Source organism: Homo sapiens, chromosome 1 (genome assembly GCF_000001405.40).
Source record: "Homo sapiens chromosome 1, GRCh38.p14 Primary Assembly".
NCBI classification, from domain to species: domain Eukaryota; kingdom Metazoa; phylum Chordata; class Mammalia; order Primates; family Hominidae; genus Homo; species Homo sapiens.
Window position 1 is genome coordinate 111,943,079 of NC_000001.11, and position 26,936 is coordinate 111,970,014.

The following is a 26,936-nucleotide window of genomic DNA, read 5'->3' on the forward strand; positions in this document are numbered from 1 at the left end:
CGGGAGAAGGGGACACCCAGGAGTGAAGTGAGTGTTCAGTGTGGGGAGGCTGCATCTCAGGCTGGATGGACGGGGCGGGGTGGCATTCTAATGGAGAAGGAAGTAATAAAAGCTACACCCCAGTATGAGTTCAGATGCAGCCAGAGGACCCTGGCTGAATCCTGGCCAAGAAGAGCAGCTGCAAATAGGGCAGAGGGGCCCTGGCCCCCACCTGTTTCCACTCAGCTCCTTCTCCATGGAGCGCACCATGCCCAGCCTCACCCAGCCTGCAGCCCCAGCATCTCCTCAGAGCACTGTTTCACTCTCCCCTGCCCACTGGACTAGAGGCAGTTCAAGCTGGAGGAAACTTAAGACACTGGCTCATGGAATACTCTCATCTTACAGGGGAGGAGGCTGTGGTCCAGAGAGGGCGAGTGACTTGTCCAAAGTCACACAGTAAGGCAGAAGCAGACCTAAGGCTAGAACCTAAGTCTCCTGATGTTTCCTCAGGGGCTGGGCTAGCCGTTGCCCTTTCTCCTAGAAGAAGGGTTCTATTTGCACAGCGTGTTGCTGGGTCATGCCTCTTGTGCATCACCTGGACAGTCCCGAGCCTAGATGGGAAGAGGCTGGTGAGAACAGGAGGCCATCCAGATGTGTTCACTGCACTCAGATGATGCATCTGCCTTTACAAGGTGCTTTCTCACAGTCCTTCTGCCCCATGAAGCAGGCAGGACAGGCATTATTCACCCCATTTTACAGAGGAAGAAACTGATGCTGAGGAAGTTGACTCGGCCCAGGAGTGGCATGGCCAGGACCCAAATCCAGAAACTGCTTCAAGTTTCGTTTTCTTTCCCATTACTCCAAGCTAAACCCAGCCGGGGCCGCACACTGATTACCTTTTATCAGCTGCAGAAAAGCCTCTGCTTTGGCAAGTTTTATAAAGGACTAAATCTGTCAGGAAAGCATAAAGACAGCGCCCTCATCCATCTTCTTGACAACTATTTATTAGACTTATTATTATGTAAATATAAAAGAGGAGGGGAAAACTACATTAAAAATCCAATCAAGTGGCTGCCTCTCTAAGGGGGTGAGAAGGGGTGGATTGCAGGGGAGGTAGAGGGAAGCCCAGGCCCCTCTGTCCCTCTGTCCCTTGTGGAGACCCATAGGGAGGCCCGGCTGAGGGGAGAGGAAAGAGTGGGGCGCAGGCCACAAGAAGCCCGCTCAGAGCTGGCAATGGCTGTGCTGCTGGCTTACACACCTGCCATTGTCATTCCACTCCGATAAACGAAAGGTTAAGATACAATTACAAAGCCAAATGGTGCCCTTGATTGCAACAGTGGGACAGCAGCTTAGCAGGACCCCCAAGGAGGCCCTTCCCAAGGAGACTCCCTCTGGAGGCTCCGTCTGGCCCAAGACTCCCTCTGTCATTTCCCCCAGTAGACCTTTGCGAGGTGAAGCCCGGCCAGCCATGCCCTGGGCACAGGGTGAGTCCCAGCTGCCCCTCCTGGGCATGCTGCCTGGACCCTGGGGCCTCCCAGCAGGCTGTGTGGGGGCATGTGCATGCTGCCCTGTAATGGATCTGTTCACGTGTCATCTCCCTGTCACCCTCTATTGCCCTGATGTTGGCTCACTGGTCTTTGTGTGTCTCCCGCAGTGCCTAGCACATACAAGGAACTCAGTAAATGTTCTTTTTTGAACACGTGAATATATTCCCTGGGGGTGATTACACTCCAAGGGGAGGGAAATGAAAACAAATATGGGCATTTCAGCCATTACCATTACCGGAGGCCCAGGTTGAACCAGGCGATGCAGTGAGCATGAACTCCCTGTCTTCACCGCCGCTCAGCCTTGGCACACATGGTGCTGTGCTGCCAATTGTCTGCCTGCTTCTGTCACTCAACCATGAGCCCCATGATGATGGGGCAGGGGCCTCAGTGCCAGAGCTGTGCCCAACACATAGTAGGTCCTCAACAGATATTTGAGGAAGGAAGGAGGTCAAGTGGTAGAGGGGAGGTGGTGGGACTGTCTTGAACCACACAGCCCCACCCACGGACACACTGGACACCTGTGGAGAGCAGAAGTCAGCGAGAAGGAGTAAAGGCAGCCCCAGGGCACCCCTCCTCCTGCAGGGCAGATGATTTGTTGAGCAGAATGCCACCACTTGCCTCTGATGCCCTTGTTCGAGGTACACCAGCACAACCCCAGGTGGCAACTTCATGTGGCTCGGCATGCACAGGAGGGGTTTCATGGAAGACAAATTCACACTGGATTAGTATAGAAGTTTGGAATGCATGGTGCAGCCTTCAACGTCAAGGGCAAATCCCATGGGCCCTTCTATGGCTATCTCCCACTAACGGAGCACTGCCAGTTTCAGACACTGTACTGAGAGATTTACATCTATGGCCTACCCCCATTAACCCTCACAACAATCCCACGAAGCAGGCACTGTCACTGCCCATTCCACAGATGAATGCACTGAGGCTCACGGGGGAGCTTGGCAGCTGCTCTCACTGGCCCAGGACAGCCATTTGTGTGGAAATGATCGATTCAGGCTTTGGCCGGGTCTCAGCCTTGCCCCTTCATCACTTTCTCAGAGCCCTGAAGTTCCAGGGCTCTTGCCTCAGCTTCTGTGCTCAAAAGTCCCCAGCAGCTGGGTTTTCTGCCAAACAAGAACCTTGAGTAGGGTCCTGGGCTGTCATCAGTGTTGCAGGGTGATGTTTACTAAGAACTTGCCTTCCTTTGGTGTCTGATGCCCACACCAATTAGGGTCCTCTGAGGTCTTGGTGCACTGGCCCTGCAGCCTGTCTCCATGCTGTATGAGTGGTGCAAGGAGCATGGGCTTTGGCGTCAGATGGACTGGGCTCTGGTCCTGGCTCCACCGTGTCACTTACTAGCCCTGTGACCTCAGACAAGCTTTAGTTCCTCATCTGAGAAAAGGGGAGAACACTACCAACATCACTAGGTGTTGTGAGTATTAAGTGTGTACATAATGATGTACAGCACTCGACCCAGTGCTTGGCACATAGTAGGTACTTGATAAATGGTAGCTGTTATTGGTAATAAATTATCAGCTCAGCTGTTATATGTAAGTGCAACAAAGTGTTATCAAGGCTGTGGTGGGCCCATGCTCAGAGTACAGTGGACACACAAAGCAGGAGGTGACTCATAATGTCCTGTGTGCATAGGGAGGGTTGGGGGAAAGAGTTTGGGGAAGGCCAGGAAAGGCTCCATAATTCCTAGTCTGAGTTGGTGTTCAAGTCGTGGGCAAGGGGAAAGGCATTCCATTCAGAAATGGAACAAAACACTGAGCCACTGTTTCTCGTAGACCATGTGCTGAGCAAAGGGCTGAGAGCATAGTCAGTGCTCCATGTGGCAGTTGTTGAGTAGACAAGATGGGAGCAATGTTGTCTGAGTCCTTCATGCCCTCCTTGGCACTGGGAAGGGCAGCCGGCCTTTCTTGATGACCATTCAAAGCCTCCAGCCCCAGGGCCTGCCAGGATCACTCCCAAGTCTCCAGACCCCCCTGGCTTAGTGCATTCCTGTTTCCTTATTTTCTAACCTCATTGGACTGAGAATACCACATTCTCCTTTTAATACTCCCCCAGAGACTTGCAGATTATTATTAAATACTGAAAAGTGAGAAGTCTGAAGGTTGTGTTCCTCTTCAGGTTTGCAGGGGGTTTATCCATATCTTGCCAGAGCTGGTCTTAGTTCCCACACCACATATGGGGGCCCCACTGGGTAGGCAAGGCCAAGGAGATAGCTGTTCAACCAGTGAATCTGCCAATCAATAACAAATGCATAAGAAAGAACTGCATGGATCAGGAACTCTATTAGGCTCTGCAGATACAATGGCAGACTCAGGATTAGTCCCTTTTTTTGCTCTCTTTTGGTTCCTATTTGCATGGAATATCTTTTTCCATCCTTTCACTTCCAGTCTGAGTATCCTTTAAGGTGAAGTGAGTCTCTTGTAGGCTGCATAGAGGTGGGTCTTGTTTTTTTTTAAGCCATTCAGCTACTCTATGCCATTTGATTAGAGAATTTAATCTATTTACATTCAAAGTAATTATTGATAGACTGGTACCATTTTATTAATTGTTTCTGATGGCAGGACTAGTCCCTTTCTCCACAGAAGGTAATTAGGCTATATTCCAGGTTAGGTAATTTTGCCCAATTCCTGTGTTCTGGATAACCAGTCATTCATTTATTAATTTACTCAACATGTGAATGATTACCATGTGCCAGGCACCATTCCAGGTGCTAGGGATATAACAGTGAGTAAAACAAGGTTCTTGCCCTCATGGAGCTTACATAAATGGGGCAATACATAAACAGAACATTTCCACAGCACTTTAAAATGTATAATGTACTTTCTCAAACATCTCAATTAATTTTCACTTTAGTGATGTGAAAATTGTATTTGTGTTATTCCCATCTCATAGAGGAAGAAGTTCAGACTTGGAGAGGTTAAATTACTTGCCCTAAATCACACAGCTAGTAATTGGTGAGACTAGGACTCAAACCCCAGTTTTCAACACATGAGACCATGTGTTCTTGAAGCAATCCTCTGTCAGGTGAATGGTCAATCAAAACAGCTAAAACAAGAAGGCATTTTCATTGTGGGGGCTTTTCTTCATCTGTCTGGGGCTTCCAAGAGGGATGCTGAGGTTTGGAAGAACTCCAGGTATTCTCATAATGGCTAAAAAATAACCTATATCGGTAGACCAGCTGTTTAAGAATTGTCAGAGGGACCTGTGAAATCCTGGGCTGGGATGATAATTGTTGTTCGATTAGTTTTTTGTTTATTTGCTTGTATTACTGTGTTTGGCTTTCTAACCCTTGTCTTGGGTACGATGACACTTCTCCAGTGGGGACTATGTGTGTATATATGTGAGGAGGGTCAGGTAAGCAGTCAGGGGGAAGTGAGGAGGGACAGGTTGTACAGGCCTCACCTCCGAGGAGCCCTGTTCAGCCACCACTCATTCCTTCCATGAATACCTAGTGAGTTCCTAGTGTACCCTGGGGTACAAGGATGGCCAAGGAAAGTCCTATCTGTGTGCTTTGGGGAGGCTGCCCCATCATGCCCACAGGGCAAATGGGCCCCACCATGCCCCTATCCTGTGCGTGGCCTCCCTCTCTGCTCTGCCTCTACAGAAAGATCTATTTCAAGCCACGGGGCTGGTGCTGGCCATGGGCTCCCCTGCCAGAGATGAGTGCTGTTCCCATCTGTAAATGACTCCAGCTCCTGGAAAAGCAGCCACAGACAAGTGCTTAGCAGCAAATAGATCACTCCCCACAGAGCCTGTGATTCACAGGGCAGAAAGCCAGCCTCCTGAGGTGGCGTAGGGAGGCGGCAGCCCTGGGAGGTGCCAGGGAGGTGCTCAGGACTCTGGCCCACACTTAAGGATAGAATTTATCTCTTCCCTTCCCCACAGCATAGGGCTGTTCTGCCTTCTACTTTCTCTTTCTTCTTTCTTCTGTTCTCCCACTTTTTTCCCCCTGGGTTGGAGAGAGTTCCTATCCCATCTGCACAGGTCACTTCCCCAGAGAGGCTTAAAAACCCTCGGACCAATTAGCTGGAAGCCTGTGGCCAGGGTCTTTTCCCTCTGCTGCAAGCAGACCTGCTGCTCCCCTCTGGGGAGCTGGCCCAGTCTAGCCCTCCTCACTGCCAGGAGGGCTGGGCAAGATCCTCTTATCACAGCTGTGAGCAGACAACCATGCACAGCAGGAGAGGGAGGGACAGGGAAGTGGGGAAGATGAGGGAGGGATAGGCGAGAAGGGAAGGGCTTCTGGAAGGTGAGAGAAGGAGGAGCAGCAAGCAGCAGGCAGAGAAGAGAGGGCAAGTCCAAACAAAGAAGAACACAAACAATAGAAGGGCTGGCTATCAAGAAGATCTTTTCTTTGGGGGCCAATGCCATATTCCAGCATGGGCAGGAAACCACAACAAGCCTTTCTGAGCCTCACTCTGAGTGTCTAGGCTTGTGGGAGGTGTAGAAGCATGACACGCAGCCTTTGTCCCACAGGGGCTTGCAACTGGGCTGAAGGGCTGGTGTGAGTATCACATGTGCAAGTCCAACTAAATGGAAATAAAATGCTTTTGTCTGGGAATAGAAAGTAGGATGATAGTTCTGACTGTGTCACTCACAGCAAAGTGAGCCTGGGCCTTTGGTGGATCTCCGGGTGCCTTGGTTTCTCTTTTGTAAAGTGGAGATAATACGGTACGTCCTGCTGACCTAATGTGGCTATCAGGACACTCAAAGGAGACTGCAGGTGAAAATGCACTTCAAATTCTAAAACCCCGCGGAGGTGCAGGAAAAAGAGCAACCTAGGGCTGGATGCTGGCACTGGGGCCACTCAGAAGACAGCCAGAGAGAACAGGAGAGCCAGAGAAGAGCCCTGCAGGCAAGAGCCTCTCAGTTGGGCTGGGAAAAGTAAACGGTCAGATTTAGAAGGGTAAGGAAAAGGTGAGGGGGTAGAGAGGGAGAAGACAAACACTACAAAAGGGCAGGAAGCAGGAGTATACTTGTTTTATTTGTAGGACAATTAAAAAATGAATTTTCTGTTTTTGTTTCATTGCATTTCTCTCTCTCCCCCTTCCCCCTCCCACCCTCATATTTTTAGTTGATTCCTTCTGCCTAGAACAGGCTCCTATCTTTGTACCCTTCCGGTTGATGAACTTTCATTAATATTTCAGGTTTAACATGTGATTCCTTCCAAGAAGCTTTTCTTGATTCCCAAGGATGGGTGTTTTCTAAATATTTTTACTGTGACTCAAAAAAGAAATATATTTTACATCACACACATAAACACACACACACACTCAACATATAGAATGAAAACAAAAGTTTTTGTTTTATTTTGTTTTGTTTTTGAGACAGAGCCTCACTCTGTTGCTCAGGCTGGAGTGCAGTGGCCCGATCTCAGCTCACTGCAACCTCCACCTCCCGGGTTCGAGCAGTTCTTCTGCCTCAGCCTCCCAAGTAGCTGGGATTACAGGTGCATGCCACCATACCTGGCTCATTTTTGTATTTTCAGTAGAGACGGGGCTTCACCACGTTGGCCAGGCTGGTCTCAAACTCCTCACCTCAGGTGATCCACCTGCCTCAGCCTCCCGAAGTGCTGGGATTACAGGCATGAGCCACTGTGCCTGGCCAAAAGTTTTTTAAACATTTCCCCTTATGAGTGTGATGCATTCTGTGATATTTCTACTCTGCTCTATTTAATTTTTTTGAAAATACTGGTCGTGACCCACTAAGTTAATTTTGTGACCTACTAATGGGCTGGTAACCCACTGTTTGACAACACCACCTTCCGCCTGTCCTTGTGGTAGCACTTTTGCCCTGCCCCGGATTGGATCAAGTGCAAGACTTTATCCCCCTCACTCCCTGAGGACCGGCACCTGACCGTGCTCTCCCCTCGATCCAGCCCGCAGCACTGTGCCTGGTGCCCAGCAGGTGCTATAAAAATTGTTGAATAGATTAATTATTGAATGGAGGCATGTCCTGCTGGAGCACAGGAATGCAAAATAAGAATGGGATTGAATGGAGAGGGCCTTGAAAGGCAGGCAGATGAAGGAAATCTTAAGAGAGAATGGGAGGGCAGGAGGGCAGAAATCCTAGGCAGGAAAGGAGGAGGGCCTGGTCAGGGCACCGTCTAAGGAAGAGCCCTTCCTTAAGGCCTTTGAAGGGAGAGGTGACAAGGTTTTATGGCAGAGAGCTGTGGGTTTGCCAGAGAGTAAGCGACAAAGAGGACCCCAAGTTTCTGGCCTGGAGGCAGGATGCCCTGTGATAGATGTTTTGTCCAGTCATTGCAGCTTAGTAAAGAAATAGTGGGCTGCACATTGTGGCTTATGCCTGTAATCCCAGCACTTTGGGAGGCCAAGTTGGTGGGATCACCTGAGGTCAGGAGTTCGAGACTAGCCTGGCTAACATGGTGAAACCCTGTCTCTACTAAAAATACAAAATTAGCTGGGCGTGGTGGTGCATGCCTGTAATCCCAGCTACTTGGGAGGCCGAGGCAGGAGAACCGCTTGAATCTGAGAGATGGAGGTTGCGGTGAGCCAAGATCACGCCATTGCACTCCAGCCTGGCAAACAAGAGCAAAAAAAAAAAAAAAAAAAAAAAAAAAAGACCTATAGTAACAACAGCCTGCATTTATTGAGCACCTACTATGTACAGGTACTATGCCAGAACATTTGCATACATCTAATCACTGCTGGTAAGTGGCCCAGACAGGATTCAAATCAGATCAGTGTGAGTCCATGGTCCATACACTTTCTCCTGCACCACCTTGCCCATACCTCAGTTCTGGCTGCCCCCTCCTGTTCATCAGTTTTTATGGATGACACAGTCTAAAAGTTCCCAATTTCTTTAGAATTGGGAACTGCTTATAATCAGGAGAGTAGATATATGTATGAGAGGGGTTGGATGGGTGGAGTAAAGATGGCATCTGCGTTGACCACCTTAAGTATGGGAACAACTAAGGGATGAAGAGCAGGGCACTCATTCATTCATTCAACAAATACTTACTGAGCACCTTCTATGTGCCAAGTACTGGCCAACATGTTAAGATACAATAGAGAATAAAACAGTTCCCTGCCCTTGTGGAGTTCACATTCTACAGTAAGGAGGGACAGACAATAACCAAAAAGATACAAAATCATGCCAGGAAGGAATAAGCGCTAAGAAGAAGCTGGGTTGGAGTTTGGCTATTTTAGATAGAGTAGTCTGGGAAGAGATCATTTGAGGAGGTGAAATTTGAACTGAGACCTAGGGAGAAGTTCCAAAGGAACATCCAAGGTGATAGTGTGGGAAGACGGAGAAGCAACAGCAGAGGGTCTAAGAAAAATCATTTAAGAGCAGTCCCTACAGAAAGACAGCAGGGATTTGGTAGGAGAAGAGAATGTTTCAGGGTCCAGGAACAGCATGAAAGCCAGGAGGCATAAACATCCCCACTGAAGTCATTGATAAAATGCTGCCAAGCTATGGCTGCAATCAGCCAGGGCACATCTGCATCCAAGCCTGGGATGGTGGAATCTTCTGGGAATGTGGTTTGGTCCATTAACAGGACACAGTTACTGTCAAAAGTCTCTGGGAGTCAGCCTTAGGGGGTCGGGAGTCACATTAGGCAAGAGCTGCTTTCAGCCTGGACTAGGGAAAGCCACTCCTGCAGCCTCTTAGGAGGTGGCTGCTTGCTGCATGTCTGGGAGTTCTTGCTTTCAAAAGAGTCTTCGCCCCACTCCCTACCCAACCCTTGCAGGGCAGGGCTGACCTGGAAGCCTCTTCCACACAGGCACACCCTCCTTCTGCCTCACACTCTCCCATGTAGGGTCTAGGAAAATGAAAAGGAAACCCTGAAGCTGGTGCAGGGGAATTTTGGGGCCTGGGGCAACTTTGACAGAGTGATTCATTTTGTCCCAGCTCATGTGTCACCATCTTGCAACAGCACTTGCAGCTTCTGGCAGCTCAATACGGGTAAGAAGTTTCTGGGGCTTGGCTGCCATTTCCCTGCCTTCCTTCTCCCCTCACAACCGAGGTAGCTGGAAAAAGAGGGAACATCCCTCTTGGCTTCTCCCATTCACACATCTAGAGCAAGGAGGAAGCTCACTCCTTCCCAGAGGGAGATGCCGAAGGATGGACTTCCCCAGGTCATGCTTACTGCTAAATATGAGAGAACCCAAAACTCCCATGCTTGCCTCCTTCTTGACATACACAGGCCCAGTGCTTCCCAACCACTCCCATTAGGCTTGAAAAGCCAGCAAGGGGAGGGAAAGAGACAAGGGGATGGAGGAGGGTGTCTCTGGTTCCCTCTTCTCAGCTCTTCCTCTTGCAGAAGACCTTCCCCCAAGCCAATTCTCAATCAGATAAAAAGGAAAATAATATAAACAACATTTTATTGAGCACTTACTATATTCTGGGCATTATTCTAAATGCTTTATATGAACAATTTCACTAAATCCTCACAAAATCAGATGAGGTACCATTATCCCCAGTGTACAAGTGAGGGAACCAGAGCAGAGAGAGGAGAACCGACCTACTAAATGTCACAAAGCTGGCATAACTAGATGCTGGACTTCATTAATCTCAGTTTCAGATGAGGCTGTACATGAATAGCTACCACATTCTCCAGTGAGGTGCAAGGCCACCACACAGGATCCCAGCTGTCCACCCACCCGGTCCATCAATGAGGTTGGAGAGAAAAATAAAAAGCTTGTTGGAGATTGGAAGAGGACCTCTGAAGAGAGTTACTGGTGTGCTGTGAGTGCTTCTCCTTTCAGGTCAAGCCAAGAGTGAGGGGCGTTAAGAAAACCTCTCAGAGAGTTTTATATGGGCTCTCTGCATTTGGGAGACACAGAAAACCAGTGTTGATTCATGCTCGCATGATCTAAAGGGAAGGCGATGTGTCACAGGCAGCTTGGATGGCTTCACAGGTTACTTGCACATTTCCAGGCAAAGTGTTTCTTGTGAACCTGGTTTGGACTACGCCTGGGAAACGGCCTGCCTAGAAGACAAGCGGAGAACCTGCCCAACTGAGAAGGGAGTTGAGTGCTCACTCAGGGAGAGGGCGTCACATGCATCCAAGGAGCTGTGTAGGCTTCCTCATGATTATGTGGGGCAAAGTTCTCCAAAGAACTCTGAAAGTGTCCCTCAAGGGAGAAGGAGCCAGCTTTACATATATTCCAGGCCCAGAGAGCTTGGGAGCAGGTCATGACACTGTCACTCAAGTGATAACTTCCATGCCCTGCTCTCCTCTCCCTGCCTGCCTCAGTTCCAACCCAGGGACGCTTTGGTTAGCAATCTAGGAGAAGGAGGAGGCTCATTGAGGGCGTTTTCCCTCCTGCTCCAGATCACTCTCTACCCTTTCCTAGCCCCAAACCCTGGGAAGCCGACCTCTATGGACATCATCAGCAGGCTCCCTGCCCTCCACAGGGAGGCACCATGGGCTAACAAGCCAGGATGGGGGGTGGGGGGAAGTGTACTCTCCGCCCTTCCCTGCCAGGTCACTGTGGGTTGCTGTGTCCCGCTCCCAAAGATGGAAGGCCCCTCAGATGGCCCATAGAGCTCCCTTCTCTTAGTTCTAGTAACTTCTCCTTCCCCTTGCACCTGCAGACTGTGGAATTTTCTGCTCTCCCAAACCATGCCAACACCTTTGTAAATAGTCCTTTTATGAACCTCCCCTCAACTGTCCAGTTTTTGTGAGCCATCTGCTTCCTGTTGGGACCCTTAATGACATAGAGGAAAGGGACGAGGAGCTAACTGTGCCCGCTACCCCACCCCATTTCCATCTGTGGTAGGCAGAGCCAGGGGATAGGAGACACCCAACTCTTAAGTGAAGTTTAAAGTTATGATTATTAAACTGAACATACAGAACTGAGACCATTTGTGTCATCTAAAAGTGACCTGAAAAGTCATGGGACTTGACCCAGATTTCATCTGGGGTGCAGAATTGCCTCAACCCAATAAACTTGCAGCAACAGTGGGAGCTGAAAGTGAAGTTGCTTTCTGATTATACCAAAGAGTTGTGCTTGTTCCATTCTCCCAACTGCCAGAGTGGGATTCTGGCTGGCATCTGCCTCTAGGGCCCATGGTGTCATCACTCTGCTGTACAATTTCTTATCAGGACTAGTCAACGTAGGAGTGAAAACCTCTTTAACCTCCAATGTCCATTGCAAATGGAGACCTAGACTTCTCCTCCAGCAGCCTTCATTCAGAATTCCGTCTTTCTCCTCTGGGACTCTAACCTAAATCCATGATTCGGGGCATTTCCTTTGGTTTCTCTAGGGAGGAAACTGGTCTATGTTTTTGAACCAATGCACTTATATACAATATGATTTGTGACATAGGTCCTCCTCCTCACTCACTGCTAATGCCCTCAGTTTTGCCTTTTATGTCAACCTAGATGGAGCTGTCTGTCTTATTGTTGTCCTTAGGATCCGGCCAAGATTTTCACAAATGATTTGAATACCTTTGAGTTTCCCAACTCCAGGCCTTTCTTTGCACATACTCTTTCCTCTGCCTCTATTTCTCTACTTCCTTCATCTCCTGTAGTTATCTTTCAAGTCCAACCCTATATCCCTGCCCGGAACAGTGGCCTGTAATCTCACCACTTTGGGAGGCCAAGGCACGAGAATCGCTTAAGCCTAGGAGTTGAAGAGCAGCCTGGGCAACATAGCAAGACCCTGTCTCCAGAAAATAAAAAATTAAAAAATTAGCCAGGTGTGGTGGCACATGCCTGTATTCCCTGCTACTTAGGAGGCTGGGGCGAGAGGACTGCTAGAGCCCAGGAGGTTGGGGCTGCAGTGAGCCATGACTGCATCATTGCACTCCAGCCTGGGCAACGGAGCAAGACCCTGTCTCAAACAACAACAACAGCAACAACAAAAACCATCTGCTTCAAGAAGCCTCTCATGGTGTCCCTGGGAGGGTAAATCATCCCCTCCTCTGTGCTTCTGCTGGATGGGGGGCCACATTTCTGTTTTTGTGTCACGCTGCATTGTAATGATCTGTTTACATGTGCGTCTCCCTCGCTGGGCCCTCACTAGGCAGTGAACAGCTTGACACAAGGTTCATTAGTGCTTAATGATTTTCATATCTTCAATGTCTGGTATAAGGCCTGACACATGAGGGTCCAATAAAGGTTTTTTAGAATAAATTATGAATGACTCAATGAAAGAATGAATTCTTTTAGTTTTTGAATCATATGGATGAAACAGCCAACATTGCGTTCAACACCCTACATGACCAGCACTGTGCTAGGCACGAAGTGGGGTCACCTTAAGCATGAGGACGCCATTTCTGCCTTCGAGAAACAAACAATCTGGCTGAGGAGGCAGAGGGAACTAATAAGTAGTAGTTGTAGCGGCAGTAACAGCAACTAGCACTTATGGAGTGCTTGCCACATGCCAGGCACAGTTCCAAGTGGTTACCATGTGATAACCGACTCATTTTAATCCTTGTAATCACCCTATGAGGAATGTGTTTTTATTACCTTTAATTTACAGATGAGGAAACTGAAGCTTAAAGTGAGGAAGGGGCATGCCCAGTCCTAACAAGCATAGGACAGATTGCAGATACTAGAGGAGTTAGGAGAGGAGGGAGTTGATTGTGAGCTGGAGTCCTTGGAGACCGCTTTGAGGGGAGGCTGCACTTGAGCTGAACTGTGAATCCCCCTCACTCTCACTTTGCCTCCCTGACCCCTGTGCATCTGGAGCCCTGGGGAGACCACTGCATGTTGGATGACTTTGTGAGGGCATCAACGTCATCAGTGCTCCCGCCAGTCGCCTCCCCAGTTCCGGAGCCCGAGGGGGCAAGAGCCCATGGCAGCAGCTGATTAATTTCCACTGACAAGAGGTTGCATCTTCGGCAAGCATGGTATTAAATAGCTCCTTTTGATCATAATTAAGTTTCTCTCAGGCTGATGCTATAAATAGCCATGCCCTATTGATTGGAGGGTCTGGGCTGTGAGCTCAGCACCCTCCGGGAGCCTCTCCAAGCCGGGCCTGGGCTCTCGAGTCCCACTTTTCTTTTTCTGATGTGCGGCATTCCTAATTTCAAGGGCAGGTGCAGCTGAACACCAGGCTTGAGTTCAGCTCATTTTCCCAGCCCTCCCCCACTTCCACAGCTCCTTCCAGGGTTGGCTCAAGAAGTACTTGGCTTCCCCAGAGAAAAGCAGGCGCAGACCTCAAGAAGCTGGAACACCGTCTCTCCTGGGTTGCTTCAGGACCTGAGTCTTTCCCTCTCTCTGCAAATGAGGACAGTAGCCCTATCCCTCCCTACAGCACCTGGACACCTCCTTATTATACCAGTAGGGAAACTGAGGCCCAGACAAGTGAAGATCTTGTTTAAAGGTCTCTGGAGAAGAAACTAACTCACAACTAGGGTTGTCCGTGCCTCTTTCTCTTCCTTAACAAAAGTGGAACCAATCTTGTTTTGCTGTACTCAGCGCTATGTTTAAGACAGAACGAGAAGAAGGGCCTGGGGCCTGCAAGACCCAGGGTCACAATAAGGGGAGGAAAACATCTCAAACAAAACACATTAATTATGATCCCTCTGACCAACACATTTTTATACTGGTGGAAAAGCACCAGGTAGAACACTCTGTCTCCCCTCTAGATGCCTTTCAGAGTCACTTCCCAGAAAGCCACAAGATTCTTTCTCCAGGAGTGCTTCCCAACTCCCACTAAGGAGGCCCCAACAGCCACTAAGCACACACACAGTGCTGCTACTCAGTCCAGTCTGTGATTTCTTGGTAACTGGTTCTGTTTCATCCGGCCCCACCCGAGGAACGTGATGGGCCGGGAACAAAGCGGTGTGGCAGAGAGGAAGGGTCTTCCCTTAAGTTGCCAGGCTTCATATGATCCCGCTTCTGCTACCAACAAGGGATGCTTCTGGGAATGCAGCTTAACCTCTATGCCTTAGTTTTCCTCATCTGTCAAATGAGTAGGTGAAACAAAATGACCTTTAAGGTTCTTTTCTGTTCCAAGTTCCACAATGATATAAGTTTAAAAAAAAAAAGAGAGATATGTGTTCACATATGCCAGGAAGAGAGCATGGAAGAGCCCAGGCTCTGTTTTCATCTTAAAGCACTTGGGCTCCAAAAGGAGGGCATCTGCAGAGGGCTGGACCTGGTGTCAGGCTCCTGCCCTCTACTCTTTATGGCAAACCATGGCTGTGGGCCAGATCTGTCCCATCTCTTGTTTTTATCAATAAAATTGGAACACAGCCATGCCCCCTCATTTACCTATTGTCTATGGCTGCTTTTGTGCTACAACAGCAGTGTTGAATAGCTGAGAATATATGACCCACAAAACCCAAAATATCGATTCTCTGTCCCTTTACAAAATAAGTTTGTTAAACTCTGCCAGGGCATGTTGGTGGGGTAAAAAGAGGGGGGAAAGCACTCTCCAGTTGAGGTGAAACTTGGGGAGATCCTGGGCAGAGCTGACTTTCTATTCTCCACTGTCCTGCAACTCAGGGTGTAGCAGGAATCACTAGTACTTTTCCAGGAGACATGGATAATGACCCTGAGCCCTAGGGACCCTGCCCAGTGACCTAGCAGCCTGGAGACAGGCTGTCCCCAAACCACCTGGCATACATACACACCATGGGGTGGAGTAGGACAGAGAGGTATTTTCTTTTCATCCTGAGTGTGTGATAATAAGGATCCTAATCCAACTCATGTAAAGAGCATCCAACCTGACCAGGCTGTTCTCGTCCCCGCTGGGGTTCCATGGCTAATCTGCTCCAGAAAAGCTCCCCCAAACCCTGCAGGACCCTGAGCTGCAGCCAAGGTAGGAGAGAGCCTCAGGTCCATTCGCAGTGCTCAGAAGCAGAGTCATTCCCTGGGAAGAGTAGGAAAAGTTGGTCACTGACAAACAAAGCAGAATGGAGGCCCTGTGAGCTTCACTTAGTTCTCTGATGTATGACCAGAGCAGAGGTGCTGCTAGGGAACTAGGGAGCAGGAAGCGGCTAGAAACAGGAAAATTAAGTAGAATCGAAATTGGTGAAATAAAACACATCGCCATTTAACCTCCACTCTTCGTGCTCCCCATAGCTTCCCAAGTTTCTCCAGGATTGTGCTGCTTCGGCCTTGGATTTCTGGGGATGCTTTTGTTGCTCCCCTTTATTCTACCGCTCTGGAGCTGGCAGGCCCCCTCTGTCTGGCATCTGTCCTGGCAGACAACACTGCACTATAGCCCTTTGATCTCCACCCCACAGTGTCCAGCATCCACCTGCAGGGTTGTGGAGGGTTTTCATTGCCTTCTCTTCCTCAACATGAAGCCTGAACTGGGTTCTGAGGGTGGTGGTGGGGGAACAAAATCTCTCGATTAGTTTTTACACAGAGGCTGCCGGAGGCCATATGCCATGTTCTCCAGCTCTGCCATTATGCATCTTGCTTGTAATTGCTTTAGAATGACACTCATCATGTTCTATTTTATCACCCAATGACAGATCCATATAGGAGAAGGGAAACACACTCTCGCACACACACTCACAGAGTCAGCCAGACTGCATAACAGTTAGGCAGAGTAATTGTTCTGAAATTCCAAGAGCTGGACTGTGTCCACTTGCTTAAATAGAGAATGTGTTGCATGCACAGTTACTGCTTCTGTGTATCAAAGGGATTCGGTCGGTGGTGGACAGCCTGGCCCATGCTTCCAGAAGTGCTTTCCCATGTTCACTCGCTCCCTCTAACCCCCCATAAACCCTCAGCTTTCTTTGCTATAGTTACTCAAGGATGGTTTATTTTCAGGATGGAGAGACAACTATAAACACAGAAGTAAACAGAGGCTATTCCCCAGTATTTAAACATTCCACCTCAAGCACTCTGAGGCAAACAGTCCTCCCTTCCCACCCCTCTGGGTCTTCTGTTACTTCCCTTGCCCCAGGAAGCTCGCCCCATCCACCACTTCCTACCCTCATCAGGGAGGGTCTCTCTCCTTCCTAAAGGTCACCAGGGTTGGAAGCTTCCAGGGGCTCCTGTGAACTAAACTGTAGACGCTTTAACTTGGCTCTTGGAGTCTTCCTAGGGCCAGCGAGGGCAGTAAGGTCTATATTCTCTTCCTGCCCCCTGCTGGGGATGGCAGTAAACCCAAGACACCAGTAGCTGTGGGCAATGACCAGAAGCAACTTCTGTGTCCCTGCTAGGTGCTCTGTGACACACTGTAGGTACATGGTAGAACTCTAGTAGTGAGCCTCTTCCTCAGAGGCTGGAGGTGCAAAAAATAGTTCACAGTGAAATGGTCTCACAGCCTGATATGGTTTGGCCGTGTCCCCACCCAAATCTCATCTTGAATTGTAGTTCCCGTAATCCCCATATGTTGTGAGAGCGACCTGGTGGAAGGTAATTGAATCATGGGGGTGGTCTCCCCCATGCTATTCTCATGATAGTGAGTAAGTTCTCACTAGATATGATGGTTTTACAAGGGGCTTCCCCCTTTGCTCAGCACTCACTCTTCTCTCTCCTGCCGCCATGTGGAAAAAAAGAAAAAAAAAAAAGCGTTTGCTTCCCCTTCCACCATGATTGTAAGTTTCCTGAGGCCTCCCCAGCCATTCAGAACTGTGAGTCAATTAAACCTCTTTTCTTGTCTTGAGTGTGTCTTTATTAGCAGCATGAGAACGGACTAATACACAGCCCTTTCCCACCTTGGACCAAAGCCCTCCATACCCAATGTTGGGATCTGTCTCCTCTACCCAAGCTGACTTCACAGCAGACCCCATGTAAATGCTTCAGGGCCTGACCAGCTATCTAGGGCTTGGAATCTGGGCCCCCAGTAAATATCAAAAAGCCAAAGATCCTTTCTTCTGAAGGATGCTGATCCTCAGCTGCTTGATAAAGCCGTATTTAGCACATTCCTCCAAACAGAGAAACAGGGTACACCAAGGGGTGGGGAACTATATGAGCTAAAGACCAGCCAGGGCTGGTACCCCTTCCTCCCTTCCCCACAGCAGTGGTCAGGCACGGACAGTTCCCAAGAGTGCAAGAGGACCTCTCCAGCTCCCTCCCCTAGCCCAGAAAGTGGCCAGGTACAAAAAAACTGGAAGATACTGGGGAAAACTTGGGCCAGAGGTGGGGTAGGGGGAGAAATCCCATGTTAACCATACAGGCTGAGACAGGGAGGGAGGCTTGACTGAAGTGTAAACAGTGTAAACCCTCAGCTGGGGTTGGGGGAACACTTTCTCTCCAACCCCTTCTCTATTAGGATGGGAATGAGCTTAAGTCCTCAGGGATGAGGGGAGAGAACAGAACAAGCTGTTTCCAGAGTGCTTCCCACCAGCCCTCATGGTTTTAATTCTTCATCAGGAGACCGAGGGAGGCCTGGGGCCATGGCAGTTGGGGAGGTGAGTGAGTGACTGGGGAACCCCATCCAAATGCCAGCTTTCCACTCTAGGGAAGACCTCTCTTGGTGGTGCCTTGCCATGTCCCTGCCAGAGCCATGAGGAGAGGGCCTAGATAGGGGTAGCCTCGACTCTGTGCTCTTGTCCCGGAGAAGAGAGGTACAGCACAGGGGTGAAGCTCTCTCTGTCCAGGGACCCGGGCTACAGCCCAGCCTAGTTTGCTCCTCCCTGGCTTAGCAGCCAGGGGCTGGCGGCCAGGATTCTGGCTGGCCACAGAGGGGCCTGTCCACCTGCACTCATCACATATGCAGTGTGTGTCCTCAGCTGTTCCTCAGAAAGCAAATATAGGCGCCAGCGAGGCCATTGTGCTCTGAGCAGCTCTGTCACCCCATCAGACCCGGCTGGCACAATGTTTCCTGGTCTTTGTTGAATATGTCCAATTTCCTGACCAACTCATCCCTGATAAATAATTGTTTCCTCGTTCCCTCCAGGCAGTTCCAAGCTAGGGAAGGGTGGAGGCTGGTGTGATGGGGACGGTCCATTCTTTTGTCTCTTTGGCATCTGAAAGCCAGGGTTGACCTCTGCTTAGTGCAGGGGAGCACAGGCTCCTCTGCCAAGCCCCATATCCTACTTGGCAGCTGCCAGCTTTTGCCAAGCTCCTTCCCTCCTTGCCTCCCTTCCCATCTACTGTCTGAATACCTCCTCTTCCCTTTCCCTGTGCCGAAGGTGTGCATCGTGGGATGGGAGCAGGATGGGGATCCAGTAGGACACTGACCTAGGGAACTGGGTATTTTAAGGGAGGCCAGAGGGGGGGCATTTGAAGGTTTCATGGCATGAAGGGAAGAGCATCCACCAGGAAATAGAGTGATCTGGGTTCCAGTGATGTGACCACAGTTGCTGCCTGGCTAATACTGGGGCTATCGCCTCAGCTTTCTCATGTCTGAGACAAGGGGGCTCAACTACATCCCTCGACCCCAAGTGAGTGATGCCCACAGAGCCAAGCCTTCAGGCGGCTACAGTCCCACTTCTGTTCTCCCTGCAGCTTCTGCCCTGAGTTTCTCTGGCCCGAGTTGCTGGCACGCCATCTGGTATTCCTGGGTGAGCCAAGAGTTATTTACCAGTAACAGCTCTGTTCATCTGGCCATTGCCACCCAAGCATGAGGGCAGGAGAGCTCATCCAAGCCCCAGTGATGGCTAAGACTGGGCACGCACATGTGCCAGGCCCTGGTCTAGGCACATTATAAACGTCATTATTTTTAATCATCACAGCAATCCTCATTTGCCAGAAAAAGAAAGTGAGGTTCACAGGTGGGTTTCTGTTTGATCACATTGTAAGAAAGTGGCAGAGCTGCAGATGGAACCCAGGTCTGCCTGCCTTTGGAACACATGCTCTTATTAACCCACACTCTCCAGGAGGGGTCTTCTTTGAGAGGGTCTGACCTGCCCGGGCAGCACAGGGCGCTGCTGAGACTGCAATCATGATCTTAGGAATGAACACGTCTGTGGCTTCTTCCCCTTTGGCCCGGGGGAGCTGCAGAAGGCCTAGGGATAGGAGGAAGTTAGTGCACCAGAGAAGAAAATCCATTCTCTGTCCATTCACTACCTTCCCCAACCCCAACCAAAACAGTGACATCATGCCATTACATCCCACTCTTAGGGACTTAGAGCCCCTGCCTTTGCATGGGCTTCACTACCTCCGTAGAAACAACTTGGACTTTTGATCAGGCGAAAGCCTATGTGGATGCCCTGCCTGTCCAGACCTTCTTTGTATTTCCCACTATGAAATTCAGTCCACATGGTTCATGGTTAGGACCCTGAGGCTGGTTGTGAAAATGGCCACCAACTCTTTTCATCCCTTTGTATTTATACCACTGCGCAATGTGATGTTGCTGCTTCTCCTCTTATTGAAAGGTAGAATCTGTTTATCTACTCTTTTAATCTGGGTTTGGCCATGCAACTTCCTTTGGCCATTGGGACATTAACAACTGTGACACAAGCAGAGGCTTCAACAGAGCTTGTGTATGAGGGCTTGGCCTGTCGTGCAGCTCTTGGGAACCCTGTGACCACCACCATTTGAAGGATCTGGGATAGCCCACTGGATGATGTGAGACAACAGCCATGTCACCTCTCTTTGTTGCCCCAGGAGATCTTGAGCAGGCCACCAGATATGTGATTGAGGCCATCCTAGACCACCCATCCCCAGCTGGGTCTCCAATGACCAGGGATATCAGCTAAGCCAGACCAGACCAAGAGAACTGCCGAGACAACTCAACCCCCCACCATACAGAATCATGAGATGTAATAAATGTTTATGATTTAAGCCACTAGATTTTCAGGGGTAGATTGTTATACAGTAAAAGCTAACTGATTCAGAGCCCCACAAAGGAATTGAAGAAGGAGCTAGAAAATAGGTCCTAAGGAGAATATTGTGAACCTGAGAGAGTCAGCTGAAGGCAGTGGTTAAGGGGATCCTAGAGCCAGAATGCCTCAGGGTGAAACCCTTCTCTGTCATTCAGTACTTACGTGACCCTTGACAAGTTACTTAATCTCTCTGTTCCTCAGTTTTCTCACCTGTAAAGTGGGGATGATAGTAATGCCTACTTGATAAGGGTTGCTGTGAAATGGAATTAAACACAGAGCACTGAGAACATGACCTGGTCCACCGTATGAGGATTTTCCTGTCATTATTACCCTAACAGACAGTCCTGCCAAGGTCCCAATTGTCAAAGAGTTTTTACATGGAGGAAGGGGGCTGACTAGCAGATCTCTAGTTCCAGTGAGGGCTGATGTGAGGAAGTGAACTGAGCCTACCGTCATGAGGGACAAAGTCAGACCTCAGGAGAGACTTCCTGACAGCAAGCATTGCTAGACACAAAGAAGGTAATAGTGGACCTTATGGCTACATGGCCTTCTGGGGACAGAAACGCCTAGGCAGGCTGCACTGCCTCTCCATCACCACACCAGCATGCACACAAGGACTTCTTTTTTGAAGGGCTTCCTGCCTAAGCAAAACCTCAGCTTCTCTCAGAATCATCTTACGGCCTTCCTTGAGGCACCATCTCAGGATTCAGAGGGAATTAGTCCTCCCCAAGAAAGAAGAAGAGAAGTCATCCTTTATCCCAATCCTTAATCCTACCTACTAGTCAGGGTCTCTGAATTGCTTTCTGATTGTAACTCTATTGTGATTCGGCAGAAGGAGGGAAACAGGCACTTACATGCCATTATGGCTGCCCAGGCTCCCAGCCAGGGCCAGGCAGGGAGGGGAAAGGGGCCAACAGTCTTCCTGGGCCACAATACTGGGCTCTGGGACTTGACTGTCTGCCCTGGCTTGACACACTGCTCTGGTCAAAGCAGATTTTTCACTGAGGATGGCCCAGCTGGGACGCTGAGAGCAGTAGGTGGGGAGGGGTGACTCCTGGGCAGGCTGAAGCCCGGGATGCTAAAGTACAGCCTCCCAACCTGCGGGCTGCAGTACACAGGTGGGTGAGAAGGAGTTACAGGCATGCAGACTGATAGAGATTCCCTCCCTCCCCCGGCCCCCACAGCTCCTGAGGCAGCTGGTGGGGTGGGGTGGGGGCAGCAGAGCCCTGGTCAGTAACCTCCTGCCTCAAGCAGCCTAGCCAGCCCCAGAGGAACAAGGTCAAAAGCACAGCCAGGTGACCACAATGGGAAGCACAGCTCTAAGGGAAAACACCAGCACACTTGGAGCAGGAAAGGCAGCACTAACTCAGAGGGGCTCCTCTTGCAGCAGAATCAAAGTTTATATTTTTGAAATTCTAGGTGTTACTAGGAGGTAGACACAAGAATAGAATGGAGAACAGAACTATTTCCTTTGCAAAGTTGGGAAAAGGAGGGGGTATTGTCCTACCCACCAGGGAGGGACTAAGCAATGACGAGAGAGGGATCCTGTGAGCTGGGGCACTGAGGGCTGCTTCCCTCACCTTTCTCCCCATTTCCCGATGTGTGCAATCTTTAACTCTGCCAATGAGCCTGTCATCCAGTTCATCTGGTTCATTTTCTGTGCATAGTGACCACACCTGGCAAGCTCTTCATCACCCTAAAGGGCCTGAACACATGGTCAGCAGGCCAGGAATGTTTGTTGAGCGGATAAAGGAAATGGGCAACAGCAGATTCGAAACAGCATCTGCAGTCAAAAGCTTTGCTGCACCCCCCCAAACTGCCCCCAAACACTCATTTTTTTTGTAAACAGGACTGCAAGTCCAAGGACTGTTGAATCTCTCTGGCTCAGGAAAGATCCCCCAGCAATTCTCTCTGGATTCTCCAGGCACAGAGTTGCTTTCTGAGTAAAAGGGGTGTGGAGGTTGGGTCAGAGGCTCATCTAAGGACCAGAAGATCCAGCTCTGGATCAGAATGCTGCCTCTGGTGTGAGAGAAGGGTCACCTCTGAAGAGGTAATCTTCCAAGAATGGAGGGACTCTAGATGGCAGGAAGAGGGCAGGATCCTAAAGTTCCCTAAGTCAACAATGGCCCAGGTTACCCTGAGAACTCCCTCCTCCCTCCCCGACCCCTTATGGCCAGCAAAACCACACACACACACACACACACACACACACACACACACACACACACACACACGCCAGGAGCATGGTGTCAGGTTCTGAGTCTCTCCTCCAACTTCCACTTTTTGCCCAGAGTACTTGCCCTTTCCAGCTCTCCAAACCAGCTTTCTCATGTGATTTACACCCTCCTATAAGTTCTAGCTCTTCTGTGATTTCTCTAAGTGGAACAGATTGATGATCCCCTTGCAGCCCCTATCTGGATAGGAAATGTCCCCAAATTACATATGCCATTCCAAATTTGGGCACACCCTCCCTCATATCATTTCATGAAATATACAAACCTTGCACTTGACTCCTGCTTGTTTTGAAGTTTTATCCTTCAGTATGTTTGATCCACACATGTGCAGGCGCCTCTCCCTGTCTGAAGTGAGCCAGCATGACCATGACAAGGCAGCAATGGACCGGTATATGTCCACTGAGCCCCTCTGTGTGCCAGGCACTCTGCTGGGAGCTGGGTTCCAGGACAATTGCCCCGGCTTTGGGGAGCAAGAGCTGCCAATGCAAGCAGGGCTTGTTTAGGAGGCTTTCAGATGGTGGTGACTGGGACCTCCCTACAAGACTCACTCACCTGGCTCACCCCACCAAGCTGGCCTTCCTTGGCACCACCCTGCTGCTGGCTCCCCAGTCCTTATCCCCTCTGCACACTGGAAGGAAAGTCAAGAAGATGCTCACATCCTGGAGACAGCCCACACGCTTACCCTCTCTCCAGCCCTCTGTGATCATTTAATGGTTGGTTTCATTCAAATAACTCAAGGTAATATAAGCCATGCTGCCCACACGGATGCTAACAGCAATATATAGATTCCCTTGCATTTTGCAGGGAACTCATGTAATAAAATACTGGGGGTGGAGAAGGAAAGGGCCATTTACAGACCAACAGGATAATAGGGGAAGAAAAACAAGTTGGTGATGGGAGTGGGAATGGAGGAAACCAGCCACTAGTGGAGGTATCAGTAGGGCTGGGGTGGTAGGAGACAGAAGAAGGGGTGAGAGCTCTGCTTACCCCCATAACCCACCCATTCATGCTGCAAACGTCCTTGGCTGTTTATCCTAGAGGGCCTGGTGAGGTCCCTGAGTGGTGGCTCACTGGGGAAGCCTCCACCCACCGACGGACTTCACTCTTCCAGGGCTGGGCCTGGGTCACCCTAAGTCTGTGCCAGGACAGATGTATCACAGGTCCTCTTGACACAGAGTCCCCTAATGACTTCCCTGATCTGAGTTATACCTGCCTTCCAGAACTGTTTCATAACAGAACCTTCCAGGTTCTCAAAGCTCTTGTCTTTCTGAGGTATAGAGAAAGTAGATTTGAGTTCAACACAAAGAGGAGGTTGGTGATCACTGAATCTCTCTACCAGTGGAATGAACTGCATCAAAAAGGGTAAACTCATGGGGCATGGTTGCTCATGCCTGTAATCCCAGCACTTTGGGAGGCCAAGGTGGGCGGAACACCTGAGATCAGGAGTTTGAGACCAGCCTGGCCAACATGGAGAAACCCCATCACTACTAAAAATACAAAAAAATTTAGCCATGGTAGCGCATGCCTGTAATCCCAGCTACTTGGGAGGCTGAGGCAGGAGAATCGCTTGAGCCCAGGAGGCAGAGATTGCAGTGAGCCGAGATCACGCCATTGCACTTCAGCTTGGGAGACAAGAGTGAGATTCCGTCTCAAAAAAAAAAAAACAAAAACAAAAAAAAAAACAAAACAAAAACGGGGTCGGGGGGTAAACTCCCCATCCCTGGAAATACTCAGGCAGACCTGTTGCCCTCTGCTGGGGAGGGTGCTGAAGACAGCCCAGCTCCAAAGGGAATAGCAAACTAGACCCTAAATCTAGGATGTGTGGGGCTTAAGTGTCCGTCTGAGCTCATCCTTTAAAAAGCCTCTTGGTCCCAGGGTTAATGTCTTATGCTTTTCCCTCTCCTGGCCCAACGAGAGGCATCCAGGGAGCTGAATTCACAGTTCCCTGCTCTCTCCAAGCACGGCACCTCAGCCCTGTGTGGGCGAGGCTGTTGACCTTGATCTGCGTCCTGCCAGCTCACCGTCAAGTACCCTGTTCACGCACCCTGGAGGAGTCTGCAGGCAGGGCCTCCCAGGCCTCTCTGCAGACTTGCATTTCTGATGGCTGCTTTAGTCAAGGACTCTTTAACTTCTGCTTCTTTGGAGGAGAAGAAATGGGAATAGAAGGACCCCAGTGCGCTACCTTCTTAGGGGCTGGTTCTCCAGGGTAAGGATTATCCAGGCTACTGGGCTAATGACCAGTTTACTTTGGAAAAGTGAGAGATTTAAGCCTTGTGCAGCTGGCTAGTAGATGAGAATTCATTCAATCCAACCCCCTCACCATTCAGAAGAGGATACTGAGGACTAGAGAGAGGAAGTGACCTGCCCTAGGTCACACAGCTTGCCAAAGCTGGCCCCACACCCACATCTCCTGACTCCCAATCCAGTGGTCTTGCCAGGGTCCTACAGAGCCCCACTCTAGCCAAAGGATTCAGGCAACCTATGTGGGCCAGCTCAGGCATAAAGCACTTAACTCAGAGCAGGGACACAGCAGCCTCTGCTCCTCGGATGAGAAGCTGACCTTACATGGAAATATTCAGAAAGACACACACAATGCGTGGGGGTGAGAAGGAGGGAGGTGGGCATAATGCTTCATAATCTCTCTGTAAGCCCTGCCCAAACTCTGAGCATGCCAGCTGGGCTGCAGAATTTTTTTATTAATCCACACAACACACTTTTGCTTGCTTGAGACAAGCTTCTGCTGCAGTGAGGAAAGAAAGGAGAGAAGGGGGATTTGGCTCAGAAGGCAGGGGCACGAGTCCTCAGGTACAAAAATCTCAGGAACTCAAAGCAATTTTTGCAGGCAGAAGAGAAATGGGCCACAGAAGAAGGGAAAAAAGAAAAAAAAATCTAGGGTCACATAAGCTGTATTGATCTTCATCTATCTTGTGCAAAAATGGCATGAAAAAGAATGAGGCCAACAGCTACAACGTCAGAAGAGCCAGCAGAGGAGAAAGTGAGGATCACAACTTATGAAGAAAGATCCATACCTGGTGACTGGGGGTTCCTCAGGAAGGCTGTGAGGCAATGCCTGTCCTGTTACACCCAGGGGTGACATCTCCAGGAGGATCTTCCTCCCCTACCCCCGGCCCCATCTCTGTTATCTCCTGGAACCAGAAGTGTCTGCAGGTCAATGCCAGGACCTACTGCAGAGGGGCATATGGCAGACGGGGGAACCTGTGCTCTGTCATGGGCTTCTGACAGGCTCCCCCACCTGGTCCCCAGAAATGTGGGAACTGGCTTCCAGCTCTCTGCTGGCTGGGCTGTGATCTCTCTAGTGGACTAGGAGGGGATCGGCTGAAAGGCTGAGTGATACCCAAAGCCACTGTGGAGTGGGTAGGGACGTCACCAACTCCCAGTCCAGGACACTAGCAACAAGGCTCCCTGGAACCAGAATCTCTCAAGAGCAGGAGACGGCATGAGATTTTAAAAGTTATTATAAAAGATATTTACATAGTATGCATATTTACCCTCTCAGGCTTTTTTTTTTCTTTGGAGGGGCAAAAACACGAAGTTTATAATACATGAAAGTTTCCCATTTCCTTCTTTTTTGTTTTCCTTCCCTTTCGCCAGTATGTGCTTCCCCTGCTGGTGAACCACTGCCTGCCTGCCACGGGTGTCCATATCCCTGTTGGCCACACGAGCCTCCATGCCCACCCTCGTGTGCCTACTGACCTTGTCTCCCTTGACTCTGACCTTCCCTTTGTCCATTCTTCGTCCATTCTGTGTCCACCCTTCACCCTCAGAACCTGTGCCAACAGAGCCCAAGAGTCTTTGGTCCTGGTGTGGTAGGACATTGGGGGCACATGTATTTTCCTCTCCTATGCTCAAGTCAGAGGTTGTGGAAGGAGATTTCTCCACCTTCCAGGGAAGGCATTTCAGGCTCCCAAATGCCTCCAGTGGCAATCCCAGTGGAAAATGATAGGCAAGAGCAGACACTGGTCAGCTCACTGCCAGTCTGAATCCCAAATTCTCCACTGATCAGTGGTAAGCTCTGAGCAGGCTTCCTCAGCTACAAAACACAGATAATAGTAATACTGCTCTCATATGGTTATTGGGAGAGCAAAATACGTAAAAATAATTAATAACATTATAAAGACTCAATAGTATTAGCTGTTATTATTGCTGTCATTGTTGTTGTTAGGGATAATGACAGTCATCTCACATGTCAGGGTGAACCTATTTCTACTCATTCAATCTTCAGTGGAGTGGCAAACAGCTGTTTCTCCACCTTCTGGCTAACAACCCTAAAGAGACTCAAACACAGCTATTAAATCGTCATCTCTGTTGTGGGGCAGCCTCTCTCCATCTCAAAACCAACTGCGGATGACACTTTCCTGGGGGGATGCTGGATGGCTGCCCCTGTGCACTCTCCTGCTGTGACCCCTTGGCTCACTCCACATGCAAGCTAATGGCCTTCACTGTCTCTCCTCTTACCAGCTTTCTCTCTTTTTTTCATAGCTTTTATTCCAATCTTTCCTTCTCT

The 26,936-nt window shown here is 49.7% G+C and overlaps 1 protein-coding gene across 10 annotated transcripts in view; it reads right to left on the minus strand.

Annotated features, from left to right (window-relative positions):
* Positions 1–26,936, minus strand: part of KCND3 (potassium voltage-gated channel subfamily D member 3) — a 219,007-nt gene that overhangs the window by 172,417 nt on the left and 19,654 nt on the right. Inside the window, exon 3 of one of the 10 annotated variants that reach the window (XM_011541426.3) lies at positions 17,058–19,358. The exons of the other annotated variants lie outside the window; for them this stretch is intronic. Within the exon in view, the coding sequence (XP_011539728.1) occupies positions 19,301–19,358 (58 nt within the window). The 3' untranslated portion in view covers positions 17,058–19,300. Of the gene's footprint in view, positions 1–17,057; positions 19,359–26,936 lie in introns of those variants that run through there. 10 annotated transcript variants of the gene reach the window in all.